Genomic DNA, 22,804 nt, shown 5'->3' with positions numbered 1-22,804 from the left:
GAGCCAGGGACTACCAAGACCCACCTGGACTTTCTCTTGAAGCTGATGGCCTCATCCTTCAAGGAAAGTTGCAGGTGAAACTGAGCAGTGGGTTGTGTTTGGGTTGGGTACTCTCCCCACCCGATTAGGCGAGGCAAAGTTGTACTGCAGGAAGCCTCAGAGAACACGTCAGAGCTGTTATTATGTAAGCAGGGTGTATGTGTGCTAGATCCGTCCAGGAGAGTTTCTGAGTTAGAGGTCAGCCCAAATGGACTCAGTAGGAGCTTTAGGGGCTGGGATGATTCTTATACTTGTTCACATTAAGCAACTAGAACCTAAATGTACACAAGCTCCTTGTATGCATGTGTGCACGTGCATGCCAGCACTGTGCTATTCTGAAATCAATGGCTCAGTCACTTTGGGTAACTGGTTAAAATTGGGGATAAAAACAAACAAATAGGCTGGGTGCGGTAGGCTCACACCTGTAATCCCAGCACTCTGGGAGGCCGAGGTGGGTGGATCACCTGAGGTCAGGAGTTCGAGACCAGCCTGGCCAACATGGTGAAACCCTGTCTCTACTAAAAATACAAAAATTAGCAAGGCATGGTGGCACACGCCTATAGTCCTAGCTACTCGGGAGGCTGAGGCAGGAGAATAGCTTGAGCCTGGGAGGCAGAGGCTGCAGTGAGCAGAGATTGTGCCACTGCAGTCAAGCCTGGGCGACAGAGCGAGATTCTGTCAAAACAAAGAGTAACTGAGGGCCTGAAATTCAAGCCAAAATTAGACTTTCAGCTGAGCGCAGTGGCTCACACCTGCAATCTCAGCACTTTGGGAGGCAAAGGAGGGAAGATCGCCTGAGCCTAGGAGTTCGAGACCAGCCTGCGCAACATGGCAAAACCCTGTCTCAAAAAACCAAACCAAAACAAACAGAAAAACAACAAAATGAGACTTTCTAGAAAGCCAGAAGCAGGCAGCCTTCAGTCTCCAGAGAGATAATATAAAATGCCACACCCAGGCTAAGAAGCAGTTGTTGTAGGTTTTTCACATAGGCCAACGCAATACCTAGTACATCATCAACGGGAATGAATTTTTAAGGTGATCAATCCAGACGGGGGAGAAACACAAGGCTTCTCACACACCTGTTACCACAGCACGTTGGGCCCTGGGTTCCACTCTAGGCCTGTCAGCATCGGTGTCCCCTCGAAGGCACAAGAAGGGCTGCTCCTGTCCACCACGCTGCTCATCATGGAGGAATTTGACCAACACGATGGACTTAGCTAAGCTGAGAACCAAGAAGGCCATGCAGATGGTGAAGAAGTGCCCTGAGAGAAGCCAGAAGAGGTGCAGTTAGCCTCCAGTCTGAAATGCAGCATCAGATTTTTTTGTTTTCTTTAGGGACAGGGTCTTGCTCTATTGCCCAAGCTGGAGTGCAGTGGTGCAATCATGGCTCACTGTAGCCTTAACGTATTGGGCTGAAGTGATTCTCCCTCCTCACCCTCCTGAATAGCTGGGACTACAGGCACACACCACCACACCAGGCTAATTTTTTTTTATTTTTGGTAGAGACAAGGCCTCACGGCCGGACTTGGTGGCTCACGCCTGTAATCCCAACACTTTGGGAGGCTGAGGCGGGTGGATCACAAGGTCAGGAGATCGAGACCATCCTGGCCAACATAGTGAAACCCCGTCTATACTAAAATACAAAAAATTAGCCAGGCATGGTGGCGGGCGCCTGTAGTCCCAGCTACTCTGGAGGCTGAGGCAGGGGAATTGCTTGAACCCAGGAGGCGGAGGTTGCAGGGAGCGGAGATCACACCACTGCACTCCAGCCTGGAGACACAGCAAGACTCCATCTCAAAAAAAAAAAAAAAAGAGAGAGAGACAAGTCCTCACTATGTTGTCTTGAACTCTTGGGCTCAAGCAATCCTCCCACCTCAGCCTCCCAAAATGTTGTGATTATAGGTGTGAGCCACTGCATCTGGCTTGCTCTTCTGTTTTTTTCCCTTCCTTCCTTCCTTCCTTCTTTTCTCTCTTTCTCTCTTTCTTTTTCTCTCTTTCTCTCCCTTCCCCTCCCCTCCCCTTCCCTTCCGTTCTTGCTCTGTCACCCAGGCTGGAGTGCAGTGGTGGGATCATAGCTCACTGCAGACTCAAACTTTTAGACTCAAGCAATCCTCCTGCCTCAGCTTCCTGAATAGCTGAAATCAATGGCTCAGTCACTTTGGGTAATTGGTTGAAATTGGGGATAAAAACAAACAAAGCGGCCAGGCACAGTGGGCTCATGCCTGTAATCCCAGCACTCTGGGAAGCTGAGGTGGGCGGACCACCTGAGGTCAGGAGTTCAAGACCAGCCTGATCAACATCGTGAAACCCCGTCTCTACTAAAAATACAACAAATTAGCCAGGTGTAGTGGTGTGTGCCTATAATCCCAGCTACTCAGGAGGCTGAGGCAGGAGAATTGCTTGAGCCCAGGAGGCAGAGGTTGTAGTGAGTATGCACTGAATGCCCTGTTGATTTTTAAAATTTTTAGTAAAGTCTCACTATGTTGCCTAGGCTGGTCTTGAACTCCTGAGCTGAAGTGGTCCTCCCACCTTGGCCTCCCAAAGTGCTGATATTACGGGCATGAGCCACCATGCCTGGCCAGCATTAGATCTTTCACAGGGGTCATGTAAGATGAGTGTCCAGTGACCCCGAGGCTGCTTACCAATCAGAGGGGTGCTCCCTACACTCCGTGGCACCTGGTTGGACATGTTGACCCTGAAGACGGTGTAGCCCACCAGCACACTGGTCTTGAACACAATCCTGGCTCGGCAGTTGGGTGGCAGGTAGAAGCTCCCCAGGTCCACCAGCATGAGAAAGATGCTAGGAATCAGCAGACTCACGACATAGACCAGGGGGTGCCTGCGCATCACCACCTGGCCGGGAACAAGTGGTCTGATGAAAAGAGGATCTAGGCCAACAGACTCAGATTTGGCCAAATTCATAGCCAGGAATTCTCCCCGAAGACCCAACGTTTTTGCATAATGTGAAAAATCTGTCTAATTTATCTTAGAAATATGTTTCAGGTTACTTTTTGGTTTAGAAAAGAGAAAAAAATCCTTTAAGTTTTACACAGAGCTAATATTAATATTATTAATAGTGATAATAAGAAGCAGCAGCTAGCATTTACTTACCACTTGCTGTGTGCCAGGCACCAGACTCAGTGGCTCATAAACTTAACTTACTCAGTCTTCACAACTTTAAGGGCTGGGTATCAACTTCATTTTACAAACAGGTATCATTAACTTCATTTTACAAACCAGGAAACTGAGTTTCAAAGAGGTTGAATTCCTTGTTTAAACTCACCCAGCTGGTAAGTGAGAAACTGTTTTGAAACTAAAATCTTCCTTCTGAAACCACTTATTATGCAATATATTGTATTACTTTTGTGTGTGTGTGTGACGGAGTTTCGCTCTTGTTGCCCAGGCTAGAGTGCAATGGCGCGATCTCAGCTCAACCTCCACCTCCCAGGCTCAAGCAATTCTCCTGCCTCACCCTCTCAGGTAGCTGGGACTACAGGTGAGTGCCACCATGCCCGGCTTATTTTTTGTATTTTTAGTAGAGACGGGGTTTCTTTTTTTTGAGACGGAGTCTCGCTCTGTCACCCAGGCTGGAGTGCAGTGGTGCGACCTCGGCTCACTGCAAGCTCTGCTAGAGATGGGGTTTCACCATGTTGGCCAGGCTGGTCTCCAACTCCTGACCTCAGGTGATCCCCCTGCCTCAGCCTCCCAAAGTGCTGGGATTACAGGTGTGAGCCACCGTGCCTGGCTTATTGTATTACTTTTTGGTCTAATCTATCTCCTTCCTTGGATTCTGAACTCCTTAGCACCTGTGTGTCTATCATTCCGGGCAGGAAAACTTGCACAATTAAATTTGGAAGTTTGAAGACGGCTCAAAAATGAGACTATCTGCAAGGTGTGAGCAGGCTTTAGGGAAACCACAAGATGGCGGGCAGACCCCTGGGCTTTTCGGGGACTGGGTGATCTGTTACCACCCTTAGGCCTGAAGGAGTCAAGGGCTGGAGTGGTGACCAGACCTGAAGAGAAAGCTGTGCAGAGGCTGCCAGATAGGACCTGTGGTTTTCTCTTAGCCTGCCTGGTGTTGACTCCACTGGGGCAGAAATGGAGAGCTAAGTACCCCGTCTCGGCCCTCCTCCCTCCTCCCATCTCCTGCCACTGCTTCCCCTGCCTGCTTCCTCTCCCTACTGGTCAAGCATGACCAGTGGTCCCATCTTTGCAAGCCACAGCTCAGTCTCCAGGAGCACAGATGCAGGGGGTGGAGGAGTGCGTCTCAGTGGAGGCCGCCTGAAGCTGTCCTGCTGGCCTGCACTGTGCTGGCCACACAGAGCTGCTCTTGTAGCTTGGAATTTGGGTCTCATAAAATTACTACTATTGTTGCCATTTTTTTATACCTCACTTCTTTGAAATGATGATGGCAAGTGTCTTTAATAAGCACACACTCCATTCTCATCCTTCCTAAAGAGAAACAGGTGAATGGCAGGGCTGCTTCCCCACTACGGCCTGGACTGTCATCTCATCCCATCTCTGGGGTAGTTAGATAATCCCCCAAGGGGCCAAAAATAAGACCTATCTTACAGTGGGTATTCAATAAATGTTTATTAAACAAATGAGTATTCTGGACCCTTTGCTGTTGGATTTGGACAAAAATGACATTTGAAATCTCCCGTTTCTCTGATTCACCAAACAATGAACGGCTCAATATGTGTCAGATAGTGTGCCGGACACTTTCACACATATGGTGTGATTTATTTAATCCTCGCTGCAAACTTGGTAGGTAATAGCCTCTACTTTATAGATTTTCAAAAGGAAAGCTGAGCTCCCTTAAGTGAGTAAGTTGAGTAAGAGACAGAGCTGGGATGTGCCCCCACATCTTCCGATTCCAAGCCCAGTGCTTTTTCCCGGGACAAGATAGCTACAACTCTTGACCTGACCAGACCTCTGAGTTGAGTGCAGGGTTCTTCTCCTTCATCCCCATCTCCCACTGGAGAAGAGTGTCACAAAGAAATGAGCCAGGGCAGAGATGAAGTGCAAAGGCCAGTGATGGAGCAGGAGGTGCCGGGAGAAGAGCTTGGCTGGGGGAGATGAAACATCACCTTGCTGATAAGAGTGGGGGCTCTCCAGCCATTGGGTCTGGGAGCACATCCCGACTCTGTGGAGCTTGGCAAGCCAGAGTTGTTTGGCAGATTGTTGTCTGCCTGTTGTCATTCACATTAAACCATAATTGGCTGCAAATACCTAAACCAGAGCGACACTCACTGCTTTGCAATAATCTGGTTAAAACACATTTCTACCAAAGTGCAGTCAACAAGGAAAGCAACAACAAAATTAACTGTCATCAGCCTGCACCCCTCTAGCTCCTGTCATCATGCAGTGACTGAGATGGCTGTGGTTAGGTGGGGGCAGGAAAAAGGGAATCAAGTGGCCAGAGTCCATGGGGGTATTATGTTGTGGCCCATTCTGGGCTATTGGTGATCTAGCCCTGTGGGGTCGGGGTGACGGGGTGACCACCCCTGCTGACTCTGGAGGGTAGAAATGGGAACACTCCCTAGAGACTTGGCAGATACTATACAAAGGGGAAGAAAAACATAAGCAAAGTACAAGAAGCCATGTTGGTTAAGCAGAAAGAGCCCAGACTCAAAATCAAGGGGACAGGCCAGGTGTGATGGCTCAGGCCTGTAATCCTAGCACTTTGGGAGGCCAACGCGGGTGGATCACTTGAGGTCAGGAGTTTGAGACCAACCTGACCAAAGTAGTCAAACCCCATCTCTGCTAAAAATACAAAAATCAGCCAGGTGTGGTGGCATGTGCCTGTAGTCCCAGCTACTCGGGAGGCTGAGGCAGGAGAATCGCTTGAACTCAAGAGGCAGAGGTTGCAGTGAGCCGAGATCCCACCATTGCACTCCAGCCTGGGCAACAGAGTGAGACTCTGTCTCAAAAAAAAAAAAAAAACACCAAGGGGACAGAGTTCCAGAGCCCTTTGATTCCAAGTGTCTGCATGGGCTAGTTTAAGTCCTCCTGGATGATGGAGTCAACTCCTCCATGCCTTGATTTCCTCCTTTTTCAAAAAGCAGTTTACTTTTGCCTTGCCAAACATCTTGGGTACAACTGAGATGAGCAGCTGTGCTCTCTACAGCACGTCCCTATGTAAAGAAAACAAGCTGAGATGACACCTCTCCACCCAGAGGCTGACACGACAGCAAATCTATGTCTGGGACAGAGCCAGAGATGGATGGTGTGGCCCCTCAAGGTCCCTGATTTCCAAGAAAGTACAGGTTTATCAGACCACGTGTTCCCCGAGAAATCATCTGAGGGAGAGCTGTGGCAAGAGCTAAGAGGTTAGGAGGTAGGCAGGCTTTGTGGATATGAACCTATGTAGTCACACAGAGCCTGCTCTTGAAAGGGCCCTGCACTTGGTTTAGTGCTCCACTGGTGCTATTTTGAAATTCTTAAAAATGTTTGAATAAGGGGTCCTGCATTTTCATTTTTCACTAACCCTGCATATTATTAGCTGACCCTGTCAGAAGGATAGTCCTCACTGGATGTCAACAGTAAATGAAGGCAGAGGGAAAAGACATAGGGACAAGGGTGGACAATTAGCTTCTGCTGTAACATAAAGCAAAGCCGTCTCTTGTCTTTGTTTGGCTTATAGAATCGCAAAACTAGATAGGCCTTCCAAAACCACCTCATCCATTCTCTTACCTTTAGGAAGGATGTTCGCATTTCTAAGACACACAAAATAGTACCTATAGTTTTGGGTTTTGGTTTTCTTCCAGAAGAAAGAATCCACCTTTTTCTTGTGGTTATTTAAGGGCAATGTTGCCTATGGACTAGTTTTTTTTTTTTAGACACAATTTCGCTCTTATTGCCCAGACTGGAGTACAATGACGCAATCTCGACTCACTGCAACCTCCGCCTCACAGGTTCAAGCGATTCTCCTGCCTCAGCCTCCTGCGTAGCTGGGATTACAGGCACCTGCCACCACGCCCAGCTAATTTTTGCATTTTTAGGGTTTTGCCATGTTGGCCAGGTTGGTCTCGAACTCCTGACTTCAGGTGATCCACCTGCCTCAGCCTCCCAAAGTCGTTAGCCACAGTGCCAGGCCTAGACTAATTTTCCCTGCAAACCCAGTGCAGCCTAAATAAACTCTAATTTCATCATATAGTTTTCAGAAATTTTTTGTTTTTATTATCTCATTGGATAATCAGAGCCCTTTATTCCTTTGTTCAATAAACATTAATTGAGCATGAACAGGTTGTCTGGTACTATCCTAAATACTGAAGTTAGTACTATTAATAAGACAGTTCCCTGCCCTTATCCCATCTTGTAGGATCAGGCAGCAGATTCTGGTGATTGAGTGTTTCATGAGTCAGTTGCAGGAGAGAAATTTTGCCCCAGAATGGACCATAATCAAGGTCATTACCTGCTTTAGATCATTTAAACAATGAGATTTGGGACTTTTCGAGTTTATATTTAGATGATATTTTGGACTTAAGAGTTGACACTGGAATGATGCTGGGTTAAACTTTGGGGGATGTTGGGATGCGGCTGAATGAATTTGCACATGGAGCAGAAGTGAATTTTGGGTTGCAGACTCTACTAGGTTGAAGAGGGCCCCCAAGAATTCATGTATTTCCTGGAACCTCAGAATGTGACCTTATTTGGAAATGATATCATTGAAGATGTACTAGAGTAGGATGAGGTCATACTGGAGTAGAGTGGGCCCTTAATCCAATGTGACTGGAGTTCTGATAAGAAGAGAAGAGACACACAAGGAGAAGGCCATGTGAAGATGGAGGCAGAGACGGGAGCAACGCATCTACCAGCCAAGGAACACCACAGGTTCCTGGCAGCAACCAGAGGCAGAGGAGAGGCAAGGAGCAGATTCTCCCTCAGAATGCCCAGAAGGAACCAACCCTGCCCAAGTCTTGATTTCAGATTTACAGCCTACATAACTGCAAGAAAATGAATTTCTGTTGTTTTGAGCCACCCAGTTTGGGCTACTTTGTTATGGCAGCCTTGTGACACTAATACACGCGACCTGCCAAGTAATGCCCAGTGGGCAAATGGCAAAGAATGGACCAGAATATACTGCACTGCCTTTAGTTGTGTGTCAGCATGATATGGAATTAGGCACATAGTTTCTGGAGTCAAGTTGCCTGGGTTCAAGTCCAGGCTCCACCAGTCACCTTGCAGCCTCCTGTAAGTTACTTAACTTCTCTGCACCTCAATTCATTTATTTGTAAAAATGCAGATACTTGGATCACTCATCTCCTAGGGATGTGAGGATTATAGGTACAAACTTTAAAATGGTGCTTGGCATAGGCTAAGTGCTCAGCTTTGTGGTTATTGCTATTATGTCTCCCTGGGCAGATTTTGGGGATCTGTGATAGATGTCAGGAGCCTTCATTTATTCATCTTTATGTCCTAAGTGTTCACCATGGAGCCTGGCACATGGTAAGAACTCAAAAGATGTTTATTGAATTGTACTGGAGTCTGGTAGTAGCACTACTTTTAGTTCCAATATAATGGAAGTGTGGAGTTAGCCTGAATGGAGGCTATCCTCTTGAGGTCAGTCTTTCTGAGGGCGACCTCTCTGCAGATCATGCAAGAAGCAGTGACTCCTGCTTCTGCTGAGTAGAAGGCATGTCACCTGCTCAGTGAGACACTGCTCTCTGCAAAACTGCCCCTACCTACAGCTCATCATTTCTAATGGACTAAAGGAGCTGGTGCCTTTAAATTCCACAGAAAGGGAAGAAAAAGCACTTTAGTTTCAGTCCATGTTCCCCATTAGACACCCTTCAGGTGTTAGCAATATTATGCCACAATTTCATTATCCATTAAAGCCAGGTAATAATAAGTACACAAAGGTATTTGGAGCCTATTGATGTTAATGAAAGAGATCAATCTAATTCCGAATGTGTGTGTGGAGAGCTCCTTGGAGATGGAATAGGCCCCAAGGTTAGCCTGTAATTGCCTCCTTGATGGTAGACCCCACCAGTACTCAGTTTTGCATGACCGTCTTTATGACACAGTTGGAATTTTGACGCCTAGACTCCGCTTCATACAGAAGAACCCATTTGCCTCCTCTCCAAAGCCCCTCCCAGCATTCCCAACTCAGAAAGAACAGGAAAGTTGCTGCCATTTAAGCACCGGAGTCAGAGTTACTTGGATCTAGACTATGGGTCGCTCTGGATTAGCAGAAAGTCAGTCTGTGATTCCCACATCACTTGAGTGACCCAGAAAGGATATCCAGGGCTCTAAATTCTCTCTCTCTTTCTCTCTCTCTCTCTCATATGATCTGCTAGCACTTAGAGGGATCTTGATTTTCTATCAAGTTTATAAGCTGCATTCAATAAGTATCTCAACAAAGTTACTCTACCTAATCTAGAAAAAAAATTATAACAGAAAAAGAGGATAAATGAAGCACCTTTCTTTCCCAAATGCCCGCTTTGCATTTTCTAGGACACCCTGTGCGCACCCCAATTCCTGCCCGAATAAACACTTTACTTGGTGTGAGGATATCTGTGGTTGGGCTCGGTTTAGTTTCCACAGCTGTCCACCCTTTTCCATCCAACACGAGTTCCTAAATTGTATTCCTACCTCCTCCCACTTCTACCCTCATTCTTTAAAGAAAAAAAAGAAAAAAACCACTGCCATGCAAAATCAAATGCTCTCACCCTGCTGTTTCTGGGAACCAGCACCTCCAATAATATATTGGAGGAAACCTCCCCTCCCATGGCTGCTGGGCCGGGTCCCAGGCTGTACACAGACATCTTTGTAGGGAGAAGTGCCTATGCTCTGGGCCCCCTGTGGAATGTAGCCTGACTCCAAAGTATCCGTGGTGTCCTCTGATAAACAATTTGTGTCCCAGAGTCGGCAGCTATGATTGCACATTAGCTGAAACTCATGGGGCATCCGGAGCACTTGATTTAGTATAAATGGCAGCAGTGTACCTCAGGCCAAGGGCAAGGATGAATTTAGAATAGATTATTGCTTCTCCTGACTTCCCTACCCGTCCCCAACCTCCCGCTGGGCAGCCTGGACTGAGACACAGCCGGCGAGTAGATTAAGAGGAGATGGTCCTTTGCTGTCAGGACCCTGGCAGGCCCAGTGTTGGCATAATAGAATCAGGCTCTGAATTTCACATCACTGGCCAAGGGCTGTTGAAGGAAAGCCAGGTGCCTTGGTTGCTAAATTCAGAGTGGGATGTCTGGTATGGAGTAAGAGAATGAGCCTAGGCTCTGTGCACAGAGCAGAAATGCATGGAGGCTGAGCGAGGTTGGGAGGCAGAAAACTGTGATCGTCACTGAATCCACTTTTAGTCTTTCTAAAGCTGCAGAATTGCTCCTGAGTCTGGCCTCCTGTCCCACCAAATATGATCTGTGACTCTACTCAGGATTCTCTCCCTACTCTGCTCCTGAGGACCAGGGCAGAGGCCAGCCCTGCTAGATAACCCACGTCCACCCCCGGGGCAAAAGGACCCATGGAAAAGTTCCAAGAGCATGAAATCAAATTGCACCTGCCTCCAGCACACTTCCACTTCAAAACGTACCCGGGGGGAAGCATGGCAGTGAGGAGAGCAGAGGAACTGGACCATGGCTCTGAGATCCAGGGAAGCCTCCCCTCCATTAGACAATCTTCTGTCTCTGTTCATCATAATTAAAATGGAGATGGTATATAGAAAACCTTCAGCTGCTGTTGACGAATTAACATTTAGGGTGAAGGAAAGTGACATGTAACTACAAATAATAGCTGCTCTATGGAGAGAGAGAGAGTGTGTGTGTGTGTGTGTGTGCACATGTGTGCCTGTGTATGCAAGCACACGCCCTTGTTTACCTGCCCCATCTCTTTCCTGTGTTTGTCTCCTCCGTGCAGTGTAGGTAATGGTGTGTGCAGTGTTCTCAGGAGCACTTGGTAGGTGACTATGTTCCACCTTGCATGTGCTACTCCTTCACATTTCCCTTTAATGCTCTCCATTATTCGGGCTGCATTAATAATGTTTGTGGGCTGATATCTTTAAAATTAATGAGGTGTTTACTCCTAGCCAAGAAACTCATTGAAATTTAAAAAAAAAAAAAGCTTGCTTGCTTTCCTTCCCTTTTCCTTACAAGAAAAGTGGACAAACAGGCCACAATGCAAGCTTTGCTTAAAACCAAGCAGGATTCTAGGCAAGAGCCCAAAGCCCACCATCAGGAGGGTATGAGTTGCGATTATACTAGCCAGCATTATACATTAGTCAGGTTCAAACCACAACTGTGTCTAAGAGGCCCAGATTTAACAAGAGCTTTGCTGGAAAGCTGTATACACCTTTAACCAATTAAGGGATACCTGTAACCTCAATAATAGTTTCTTTCTTTCTTTCTTTTTTCTTTCTTTCTTTCCTTCTTTCTTTTTTCTTTCTTTCTTTCCTTCTTTCTTTCTTTCTTTTTTTCTTTCTTTCCTTCTTTCTTCTTCCATCCTTCCTTCCTTCCTTTCTTTTCTTTTGACAGAGTCTCCCTGTGTCACCCAGGCTGGAGCGCAGTGGTATGATCTTGGCTCACTGCAACCTCCACCTCCCGGCTTCAAGCGATTCTCATGCACACACCACTACACCCAGCAAGTTTTTGTATTTTTAGTAAAGATGGGGTTTTGCCATGTTGGCCAGACTAGTCTCGAACTCCTGACCTCAAATGATCTGCCTGCCTTGGCCTCCCAGAGTTCTGGGATTACAGGCATGAGCCACCGCACTCAGCGAATGATAGTTTATTTCTTCACCTCCCCTTAGCATATCCATTGTACCAGAGCACCTTAGTCTAGTCTAAGTTTTCCTTCTTATTCCAAAGGTATATTTTTAGGATAATTCATCTTGTGTGCAGTCCTGACCTGCCTGTGGTTTCTATTTTTCAACTGAATCCATTACTTGGCATGAAGGACCACCATTCCCTCACTACCACCACCACTAGCTGACTTTTTGCAGAAAAGAAGAATGCACTGCTGAATACTAATGATGTAGTTTACCAGTTGTGTGAAATTGTTGCAGACCATGTGTCAAAACAGTTTCCCAGGGGGCCAAAGATGGGACAATGGCTGCCTCTGGAGTACAAATCAGCGGGCTTCACTGTCCTGTACCCCACCATCCCCTAGTTTCATGCCGGACAAATTTCCCTATGAACAATGCAGCCAAGGGCTGCATCGGAGGAGTGTGGGTTCCCATCATAATTTTGAGGGGGTTAATTGTTCCCTCTGATCCAGAAGCTACCAGTGGTCTCTGTGGGTCTTATTGGCTAATCCCTTAAGATATTCAAGTTAATAATATTATCGTATTATGCATCTGCATCTGGAATTAGTTGATAATTTACTCAATAAAAAAAAAATAGGACAATAATGTTGATGAGAAAGTCTTCCCAATTTGTTGTTGTTGTGTGTGGGTTTGTCTGTGTTTTTTCTGAGTAGCAATTAGAAGCCATAATGTAAGTGTGTGTGGAAAGATTGGAGGATTCCTGCTGCAGGGCATGCTTCAGGCCTCTGGTGTCTGAATACCAGGCCTCTGGTGTCTGTTATCTTCTGGAGGGGCCCAGCATCTCCCACTGAACCTCTGCTCTGTGAAATGCTGGAATGCAGGTGGATGCTCAGAGCCCGCTGAAGTCCCTGTTCTTGGGTGATAATGAATGAGAACATGCAATAGAGCAGAAATTCCTTGGCCCAAGAGAGAAGGCCAAAGGCTGGGGAGAAGCGGGCAACGGGGACAGGTAGTAAAGAACCTACATTAAACTGAATCTGTGCAAATCCTCCAGCGCTGCTCTGCAGGATGCTGTATGTGGAGGACACAGATAGAAGTTCCCACTCACTGTCATTCAAAAACGCCTTTTTGTCATGCTGAATGTCTTCTGGGCTCCTCAGAAAGGCCAGGTCTACGTCTTCCACTGCAAACAACACAAACAATTGACTTTCCCAGAGAGAAAGAGATGCCAACATCCACCCACTTTTCCAGCTCCCAATTCGAATCCTTCCTCGTTCTCCTGCCCCCATAGGCACAGTCTCCTTGGCCTTATTTGAATTAGGGGGTAGGGATGTGGAATAAAATCTTTCTAGTCATAAAAAAACAACAACTGTGAATTTATGGCTTGGAATACACTCTCTGTAGAATGATGGAGCTTGCCTGCGATTTCTATAATATTATCCATGGCAGTAGAGGCCTAACACTGTTTCCAAAACAACTATGGGGGCCTACAGCATCATACTTGGTCTGGATTACAGCAGGAGCCAAAAAACCGCAAGAAGAGATTCCAATTTTTAAATAGCCAATTATCTGCAAGAATAAAATAGACCTGAAGGATAGTATAATATCATTTCACCTATGTGCACCAACCTAGCATTAATGGGTATCTCTCATGGTTTACCTGTATGCAGAATGCTCTTGAAGGTCAGGCTGCAATTCTGGACATCAAATGGAAAAGCATATGTCTCTAAACTGCACGCAGAGACCACCTGGATGGGCTTATAGTTCTCAATGGTCCCAGATGAGTTCACATAAACATAGGGAAGGTCAGGGTATCTTTCAATGTCCACACTATATGAAACACAAGAGAACTTGTTGTCACAGAGAGGATGTTGGTCATTTCAAAACATAGGCTGATTAGGAGATGGTAGTGACCATGAGGTCCAGGACCAGCCTAGCCCTGCAAAACAGAATCGCATTTTCCATGAGATGATTCACCCTGGCAAAGATGAGCTTTTCAGTGACAGCCTCGTAAGTTAACTCATTTGCTGCTATAACAACACAGACATAATGAGTAACCTCAACATTAGTAACCAGATCTGTATCTTAAATAATGTCAACACATGGCACTTCTAACCTGAATACTCCCAACAATATGCTCCCCTTCAACTTGAGAAGCAAAAATGAGCAACACTGACTGAAAGTAAGCAGCAACTGGCCCGACTATACCAAGCAGTCTAAACCCCACAGAAATACACACTGGCACACTTACAACTCATTGATGATGATATCGGGGGCCCAGATGGCACTTAGAGGTAGGGAGATCTCTCTAATCTCATCAAACATGCTGGAGTTCCAGGATAAAAATTCATCATTCCAGACCTGTTAGTAGTAGCCAAAAAGAAAACTTATCAAAATGGGGCAATATCTACTTCGCTAAAGAACTAAAGAGGCATTTGGATTAATAATCCAATTTATCAGCCTCTTGGTTCTACCTGTTAGGAGAAAGGACTTCCCATCTGAATCCTAAAGATGGTAGTCCCAACCAGAAACCAGGGCCATACATCTTAAATGAATTATAATACATTAGGTCTGCTGCAGATCTAAGAAACTATAAATACAAAGATAATACCTATTTCTTAAATAACTATATTTTGCAGCAGATCCAGATCAGGAGTGCAATATATTTAGAAGAAAACATAATTATTTACCTCTTGGTACCATACACTTGTCTTTAATATTTGATTCTCTGCATCCTGCAAGGCAAAAAGAAAATCCACTCCAAATCTTAGAATGTCAATAAATCAAAGGCCAATTCAGCAGTAAGGAAATTCAGAAGAAGAAAATCAAATCTAACCAAATAATGCTGATATTAAAAACATTACCTAGACTCTTCAATACCTAGGCATTCTCAGTTCTTACTTATTATGCACACCTGTCGCTATGAGCTTTACTATATTATCTATGACAAAACGGCACTTTGCCTGCCCTTGACATCTTGAATGATTTGCTAATCTCTTTCCCACTCTAATTAGTTACTCTACCATTAATCAGACTAAAAAATGTTACGTTGTCTTAGTAATTTTGGGCTAAAAAGATGAGACCAAGCTTTGATTTGTAATCAAGATATTATTCATAATCTTTCAATGAGTGTTAGCTCAACTGTTATTGGCAGCCATTCCTGTTAAGTTACCGTATGTTTGGATTTCTCTGCTTATAAAACAGACTGAATGAGCTTATTATAAATGAAACATATTTTAAATGATATAATAGACGTGATTTCCCATGTCTGCAATGAGTCCATAAAATTTTTAAAAGACCCCCCAAAACAGCAATTTAAAAAACCCTCCTGGCTGGGCACAGTGGTTCGTCCCTGTGATTCCACATTTTTGGAGGCCAAGACAGGAGGATTGCCTGAGCCCCGGAGTTTGAGACCAGCCTGGGCAACACAGTGAGATTCTGTCTCTACAAAAAAGTTAAAAATTAGCCAGGTGTGGTGGCACACACCTAGTGGTCCCAGCTACTTGGAAGGCTGAGGTGGAAGGATTGCTTGAGTCCAGGAGGTCAAGATTGCAGTGGGCCATGTTTGTGCCACTGCACTCCAGCCTAGGTGACAGAGAGAGACTCTGTCTCAAAAAAAAAAAAAAAAAAAGAGAAAAGAAAAAAAAACCCTCCTCACCAATTTTTTTCATATCTAATCTAGTAAAGAACATTCTGAAACTCAGATGTTCTTAGGAATTTTTTAAAAAGGGATATCTCACACCGTATATAAACATTAACTCAAAATGAATCATACACCCAAATGTAAGAGCTTAAACTATAAAACTCTTAAAAGAAACCATAGGAGTAAGTAAATCTTCATGACTTTGAATTAGGCAATGGTTTCTTAGACATGACAACAAAAGAAAAATAAATGAGACTTCACCAAAATTAAAAACTTTTGTGCTTTAAAGAACACCATCAAGAAATGAAAAAGACAACCCACAGAATGGGAGAAAATATTTGCAAATCACATATCTATTAAGAGGCTTGTATCCAGGACATAAAGAACTCCCACAACTCAACGACAACAAAAGACAAGCAGCCCTGTTTTAAAATGGGCGAGGCCGGGTGCGGTGGCTCGCACCTGTAATCCCAGCAGTTTGGGAGGCTGAGGCTCGTGGGTGGATCACGAGATCAGGAGATGGAGACCATCCTGGCTAACACGGCAAAACCCCGTCTCTACTAAAAAATACAAAAATTAGCCGGGCGTGGTCGTGGGCGCCTGTAGTCCCAGCTACTCGGGCGGCTGAGGCAGGAGAATGGAGTGAACCCAGGAGGCAGAGCTTGCAGTGAGCCCAGATCCTGCTACTGCACTCCAGCCTGGGTGACAGAGTGAGACTCCGTCTCTAAAAAATAAAAATAAAAATAAAAATGGGTGAGAGACTTGAATAGACATCTCTCTAAAGTAGATACACAAATGACCAATAAGCACATTAAAAGATGCTCGAGGTCACTGCTATGGGCCAAACGGTGTCCCCCCAAAACCCATATGTTGAAACCCTAACTTCCAAGGTGTTCATATTTGGAGACAGGACTTATAGGGAGTAATTAAGGTTAAATGATGTCATAGGGATAGGACCCTAATCTCATAGGATTGGTGGCCTTATAAGACAAGGAAGAGAGAAAGATCTCTCTCTACCATGTGAGTATACAGTGAAAAGGTGACCATCTGAAAGTCAGAAAGTGGGCTCTCACCAAGAACCAAATCAGCCAGAACCTGATGTTGGACTCCCAGCCTCCAGAATTGTGAGAAATAAATTTCTGTTGTTTATGCCACCTAGTCTGTGGTATTTGTTACGGCAGCCCAAACTTCCTAATACAATCACTAATCATTAGGGAAATGCAAATCATCAAAACCACAATGAGATACAAACTCACACTCATTAGAATGGCGACTGTTTTTTAAAAAGCAGAAAATAACAAGTGTTGGTGAGGATGGGGAGAAATTGGAACCCTTGTGCACTGTTGGTGGAAATGTAAAATGGTGCAGCTGCTGTGGAAAACAGTATGGCACTTTCTTAAAAAGTTAAAGATGAAATTACCATATAATCCAGCAATTCCACTTCTGAGTACACACCCAAGAGAACTGAAAGCAGGGGCTTGGACAGGTATTTATACACACATGTTCATAGCAGCATTATTCACAATAGCCAAGGGGTAGAATCAACCCAAGTGTCCATCGACAGATGAATAGATAAGCAAAATGTGGACTATACATAAATTAGAATATTATTCAACCTTAGAAAGGAAGGAAATTCTACAGCTGGGCGCGGTGGCTCACGCCTGTAATCCCAGCACTTTGGGAGGCCGAGGTGGGTGGATCACTTGAGGTCAGGAGTTTGAGACCAGCTTAGCCATCATGGTGAAACCCCGTCTCTACTTAAAATACAAAAATTAGCCAGGAGTGGTAGCGCACACCTGTAATCCCAGCTACGAGGGAGGCTGAGGCAGGAGAATTGCTTGATCCCAGGGGTGGAGGTTGCAGTGAGCCAAGATTGTGCCACTGCACTCCAGCCTGGGCAACAGAATGATACTCCGTCTCAAAAAAAAGGAAGGAAGCAAATTCTGACACATGTTACAACATGGATGAACCTTGAGAACATGATGGGAAGTGAAATAAGCCAGTCACAGAAGGACAAATACTGCCTGATTCCACTTAAATGAGGTACCTAGAGTACTGAAATTCATAGAGACTGAAAACAGAATGAGTTGCTGGGGTGAAGGAAGGGAAAGTTATCGTTGAATGGGTAAACAGTTTCAGTTTTCACTGTTCGCAATAGCAAAAACATGGAATCAACCCAAATGCCCAACAATGATACACTGGATAAAGAAAATGTGGTACATATATACCGTGGAATACCATGCAGCCATAAAAAAAAGAATGAGATCATGTCCTTTGCAGGGGCATGGATGGAGCTGGAAGCCATTATCCTCAGCAAACTAACATAGGAAGAGAAAACCAAACACCACATGTTCTCACTCATAAGTGGGAGCTGAACAATGAGAACACATGGACACGGAGAGGGGAACCACACACACTGGGGCCTGTCAGGGTGGGGTTTTGGGGAGGGAGAGCGTCAGGAAAAATAGCTAATGCATGCTGAGCTTAATACCTAGGTGATGGGTTGATAGGTGCAGCAAACCATGGCACACGTTTACCTATGTAACAAACCTGCACATCCTGCACATGTATCCTGGAACTTAAAATTAAATTAAATTTTACAAAAAAGAGAAAACAGGGCCGGGTGCGGTGGCTCACACCTTGTAATCCCAGCACTTTGGGAGGCCGAGGTGGGAGGATCAACTGATGTCAGGAGTTCAAGACCAGCCTGGCCCATGAAACCCCGTCTCCACTAAAAATACAAAAATTAGCCGGGCTTAGTGGCACGTGCCTGTCATTCCAGCTACTCGGGAGGCTGAGGTAGGAGAATCGCTTGAACCCAGGAGGCAGAGGTTGTAGTGAGCTAAGATTGAGCCACTGCTCTCCAGCCTGGGCAACAAAGCGAGACTCTGTCTCAAAAAAAAAAAAGGAAAGAAAAAACATATACTCTAAAACACATTTGTCCAGAATATCAATTCTATAAGAAAACATGTGCAGAGAAAAGTAAAAATTAGCAGCGATGGTTGCTTTTATAATTTGAATTACGTGAATTTTTTCCTCTATAGTATTATATTCTTCTGTATTTTCTACATATCTATAAGTATATTATAATCAGGAAAAACATTAGTATTTTTTTAAGTTACCAAGCTGTCCCACAAAGAAATATGAATGGCCAGTAATCACATGAAAATGTTTAACCTCAGTAGTAATAAAAGATGGAAAGAATGGTCAAAACAAAAAAGGAGTTTCAGTTTTGCAAGATGAAAGGAGTTCTGGAGACTGAATCACGGTGATGGTAACACAAGAATGTGAATGTACTTAATGCCACTGAACTGTATGCTTAAAAAAGGTCAAGATGATAAATTTTATGTTGTGTATTTTATGACAAGTAAAAATGATAATACAAAGTGGATAAAGGATTTGGCTATATATTTCTCCTAAGGAGATATACAAATGGCCAATAAGCACATGAAAAGACGCTCACCATCATTAGTCACCAGGGAACTGCAAATCAAAACCACGACGAGATACCACTGTATCCTCACTAAGACAGCTAAAATTAAAAAGATAGACAATAACAAATATTGGCAAGGATGTAGAGAAGTTGGAGCCCTCAAACATTGCTGGCAGGATTATTAAGTGATTCAGTCAGTTTGAAAACCAGTCTGGGCTGGGCTCGGTTGCTCACGCCTGTAATCCCAGCACTTTGGAAGGCTGAGGCAGGCAGATCACCTGAGGTCAGCAGTTTGAGACCAGGCTGGCCAACATGGTGAAACCCTTGTCTCTACTAAAAATACAAAAATTAGTTGGGTGTGGCGGCGCACACCTGTGATCCCAGCTACTTGCGAGGCTGAGGCACGAGATCACTTGAACCCGGGAGCTGAAGGTTGCAATGAGCCAAGATCGTGCCACTGCATTCCAGCCTGGGTGACAGAGTGAGACTCTGTCTGAAAAAGAAAAAAAGGAAAGGAAAGGAAAGGAAAGGAAAGGAAAGGAAAGGAAAGGAAAGGAAAGGAAAGGAAAGGAAAAGAAAGGAAAGGAAAGGAAAAGCAGTCTGATATTTACTTAAAAGATTAAACATATATTTATCATATAATGCAACAATTCTACTCAGAAGTATATAACCACGAGAACTGAAGAAATAAGTCCACACAAAAAACCTGTATAAAAATATTCATAGCAGCATTATTTGTGATAGTTAAAAAGTGAAACCAATATAAACATCTATCGACTGATGAGTGAATAAACAAAATGTGATATATCCATACAATCGATTATACAGCAATAAAAAGTAATAAAATACTGATGCATGTGACAACATATATGAACTTTGAAAGCATGCTAAGTGAAAGAAATCAGTCATAAGAAGCCATTTATGGTATGATTCCACTTATATAATATGTCTAGAACAGGCAAATCTATAGAAACAAAAAGTAGATGAGTGTTTGCCTAGGGCTGCTGGGGGTGGAATGTGAGGTGTGACTGCTAATGGATATAGGGCTTCTTTTTGAGGTGATAAAAATGTTCTGAAATTAGATAGTGGTGATGGTTGCATAACTGAATATACTAAAAAACACTGAATTGTATACTTTAAATTGGTGAATTTTGTGGTTGAATTAAATCTCAAAAAAACCTGCTATTTAAAAAAATGTATTAATAAAGAAAAGGGCAATTGTTTTTTAAGACATTTCCAGTAAATTTATAAGAAGTCTGATGCATACTATTAAAGAACTCTCCTTGAACTCATTTTTTTTCATTTCTTTCCATGTATAATCCATCACTAAAAACTGCATCCTTAAAAGAGAATAAAAGGATAAAAAACACAAGATGAAGAAATAGGAAATAAAATGTGTAAGACCAGCCTGGCCAACATGGTGAAACCCCGTCTCTACTAAAAATACAAAAATTAGCTGGGCATGGTGGTGGGAGCCTGTAATCCCAGCTACTTGGGAGGCTGAGGCAGAAGAATCGTTTGAACCCAGGAGGCGGAGGTTGCAGTGAGCAGAGATGGCGCCACTGCACTCCAGTCTGGGTGATAGAGAGAGCCTCTGTTTCAAAAAAAAAAAAAAAAAAAAAAAACAAATTCGTAAAACATTTCCTTTGCTGATTTAGGTTCAAAGCTCAAGAGTCACTTAGGTAACATTCGTATTTCTGTAATATTTAGTACAATACCAAATTTCAGTAAATGAAAGTGTTTAGGAAGTTGATGGCATGAAATCAAATAACAGCTCTCGTTTCCTCCCCAGAACTGGGTATACGAAATTAATTGTCCAATTATCCAGCGACATAAAAATCCATATTCTTTGTGCACAGGGTCAAGACTATGTACTACTCTGGAGAATTCAGGTTGGATAGGGGGTCAGAAGGCACCACTGGTATTATAGTCCATGTTGATGGTGCTCGTGGAATTGTGCAGAACAGAGACTACACAGTGGCTCTGCGCCAGGTGGCATCATTTGAAAGAGAAACAAGAAACTTTTTTAAATTTCCCCTTTTTATAATCAAGAAAGCAAATTACTAACAATAAGCATTATTTTTTCTCTTTGAGAAAGAGAAGGCATTCGGAGCACATAGAAACATAGTCGCCCTGCTTTAGTGGTTCAACAAAGCCTGGTCTGAGTGAACTTGTTCTACAGATATTAATGGAATTTAAATAGATACTTGGGAAAGGCAAGTTTTAAAGTAGTATAAAAAGTGAAAACCTTGAATTCACAAGTATTTCCCCAAGGAACAACTTGGAGCAGATGGACCACAGGGGACTCCCAGACAAGACTGGCTCAACGGGAGTCCTGGTAGCTGAAAAAAAAGCTCTAATGAGAGCTCGAGATTAGGTGTCACCACTTCTTGGCTTTTTTTTTTTTTTTTTTTTTTTGAGACAAGGTCTTGCTTTGTTGCCCAAGCTGGGGTGCAGTGGCACAATCATGGCTCACTGCAGCCTCAACCTCCCAGGCCCAAGTGATCCTCCCATTTCAGCCTCCCAAGTAGCTGGGACCAGAGATGTGCAACACCGTGCCTAGCTAATTAATTTATTATTATTAATTTTTGTAGAAACAGGGTGGTGCTATGTTGCCCAGGTTGGTCTCAAGTTCCCGGACTCAAGCAGTCCTCCCACCTTGGCCTCCCAAAGTGCTAGGATTACAGGTGTGAGCCACCGTGCCCAGCCTTCTTTGCAAATTTTACCAACTGAGAGATCATGAAATAGATTATGTCTCACCCACTAAAGCACAAAAGGTTCCATTCTAGGCTTGGTTGCAATCAATGAGGTTCCCCACAAATAGAAAGAAAAAAAGTTCAAAATGCAGTTTATATCACTGAGATATATAGTAGTTGACTATGCTTTCACAAGAAATACATTTTTACATCTATTCGATGTTCTTACCAGTTTGTTTATCACTGTCATACCCCGTGAATGTGCCTCATTGATTCAGTCATATGGCTGGGAGGAAGGTCTCTGTTTTCATGTTTCATTTCACTATCATTTTATTCAGTTGATTCTTCTTAACTGCCATATTGATGCCTTAGCTTGTTTTTCTCTTCTTGCCCATTGCTTTGCCACATTACATATAACAATGATGTTAAGAATTTTTTTCTAACACTTTATGGGGGTGGTTGAGAGGATTCGTCATTCAGCCCTGAAGAACACAATGTCAAAAAGTATTTTGAGGCTAAAACTAAAATCTTTTTTTGTCAAAGGAAACAAGTTTCTCAATGCCAGCTGGTGAACATAATTGGTTCTCTGGTGGCATTATTCACAGCTTTTCCCTCTGTGTATCTCGCCCTGTTTTTTTTCTTTAGATACCTTCCATCTTGCTTGTTAAAAGCAAAGGATATTTCAGAGAATTGGAATTCATTAGTCTTCCTAACAGAGGGAGTCTATTTAGATCTAAATTGGTGGTTAGCAAATATACAGATAATTCCCCTACATTCTTATTTATCTTTTCCAGTTCCGGAGACTATAGAAACAGATGCCTCAACGTCTGGCTGGGAGGCTCTAGTCAATGGACTGGAATACAAAGGTATCTGGGATTCGGAATTGACAAAACTCAATAGAAACAAATTGAAACTCTTCACTGTTGAGTAGATTATCTCTATAATCAGATTTCCCTAAGGTACTCATAATACCCAGAAATTCTAAGACAAGACTGTAGTCTTTTATATAAACAAAACAGGAGGCAAAACATTATAATGGAGGCGAGGTGCTGGGCTGAAAGCTCTTCATTCTAAACAAAAGTTGCCAGCAGTTCAGATGCTGGCAGATGCATCCAACAAGTTATCTATTCACGTTGGGAGTGTCCTTGTCTGTGCAGAATCTGTGAGTGATTTTTATCAAGTCCTTCAGAACTGTCCCTGCCTCTGGAACTAACTTTAGGCTTATCCCACCTACATGCAATAGAGACATTTACAGAGCATTTTTAGAGTAGCCATTT

General features: G+C 43.8%; 1 protein-coding gene across 5 annotated transcripts in view, besides 1 other annotated feature; it reads right to left on the bottom strand.

Moving 5' to 3' along the window:
- The window catches only part of HTR3B (5-hydroxytryptamine receptor 3B), a 50,157-nt gene that overhangs the window by 3,206 nt on the left and 24,147 nt on the right, over nt 1–22,804 (bottom strand). For 3 of the 5 annotated variants that reach the window (XM_024448767.2, NM_006028.5, NM_001363563.2), the window contains 6 exons: nt 14,446–14,490; nt 14,007–14,116; nt 13,416–13,585; nt 12,781–12,938; nt 2,682–2,892; nt 1,119–1,301 (listed from right to left, as the gene is read on the bottom strand). In XM_024448767.2, coding sequence (XP_024304535.1) covers nt 1,119–1,301; nt 2,682–2,892; nt 12,781–12,938; nt 13,416–13,585; nt 14,007–14,080 — 796 coding nt within the window. In that variant the 5' untranslated portion in view covers nt 14,081–14,116; nt 14,446–14,490. Of the gene's footprint in view, nt 1–1,118; nt 1,302–2,681; nt 2,893–12,780; nt 12,939–13,415; nt 13,586–14,006; nt 14,117–14,445; nt 14,491–18,861; nt 18,917–22,804 lie in introns of those variants that run through there. The other 2 variants (XM_017018552.3, XM_047427869.1) reach the window with 2 other exon arrangements.
- Nucleotides 2,663–2,792: a silencer, noted in NCBI's record as "fragment chr11:113813804-113813933 (GRCh37/hg19 assembly coordinates)". NCBI's record gives its function as "represses an EF-1alpha promoter that drives an FKBP-Casp9 reporter gene in an ReSE screen in phorbol 12-myristate 13-acetate-treated (for megakaryocytic differentiation) K562 erythroleukemia cells {active_cell/tissue: K562(+PMA)}" and the evidence as "EXISTENCE:reporter gene assay evidence [ECO:0000049][PMID:32094911]".

This window comes from Homo sapiens, chromosome 11 (assembly GCF_000001405.40).
Source record: "Homo sapiens chromosome 11, GRCh38.p14 Primary Assembly".
Classification (NCBI taxonomy): Eukaryota; Metazoa; Chordata; class Mammalia; order Primates; family Hominidae; genus Homo; species Homo sapiens.
This window is presented reverse-complemented; position numbering and strand designations above follow the sequence as displayed.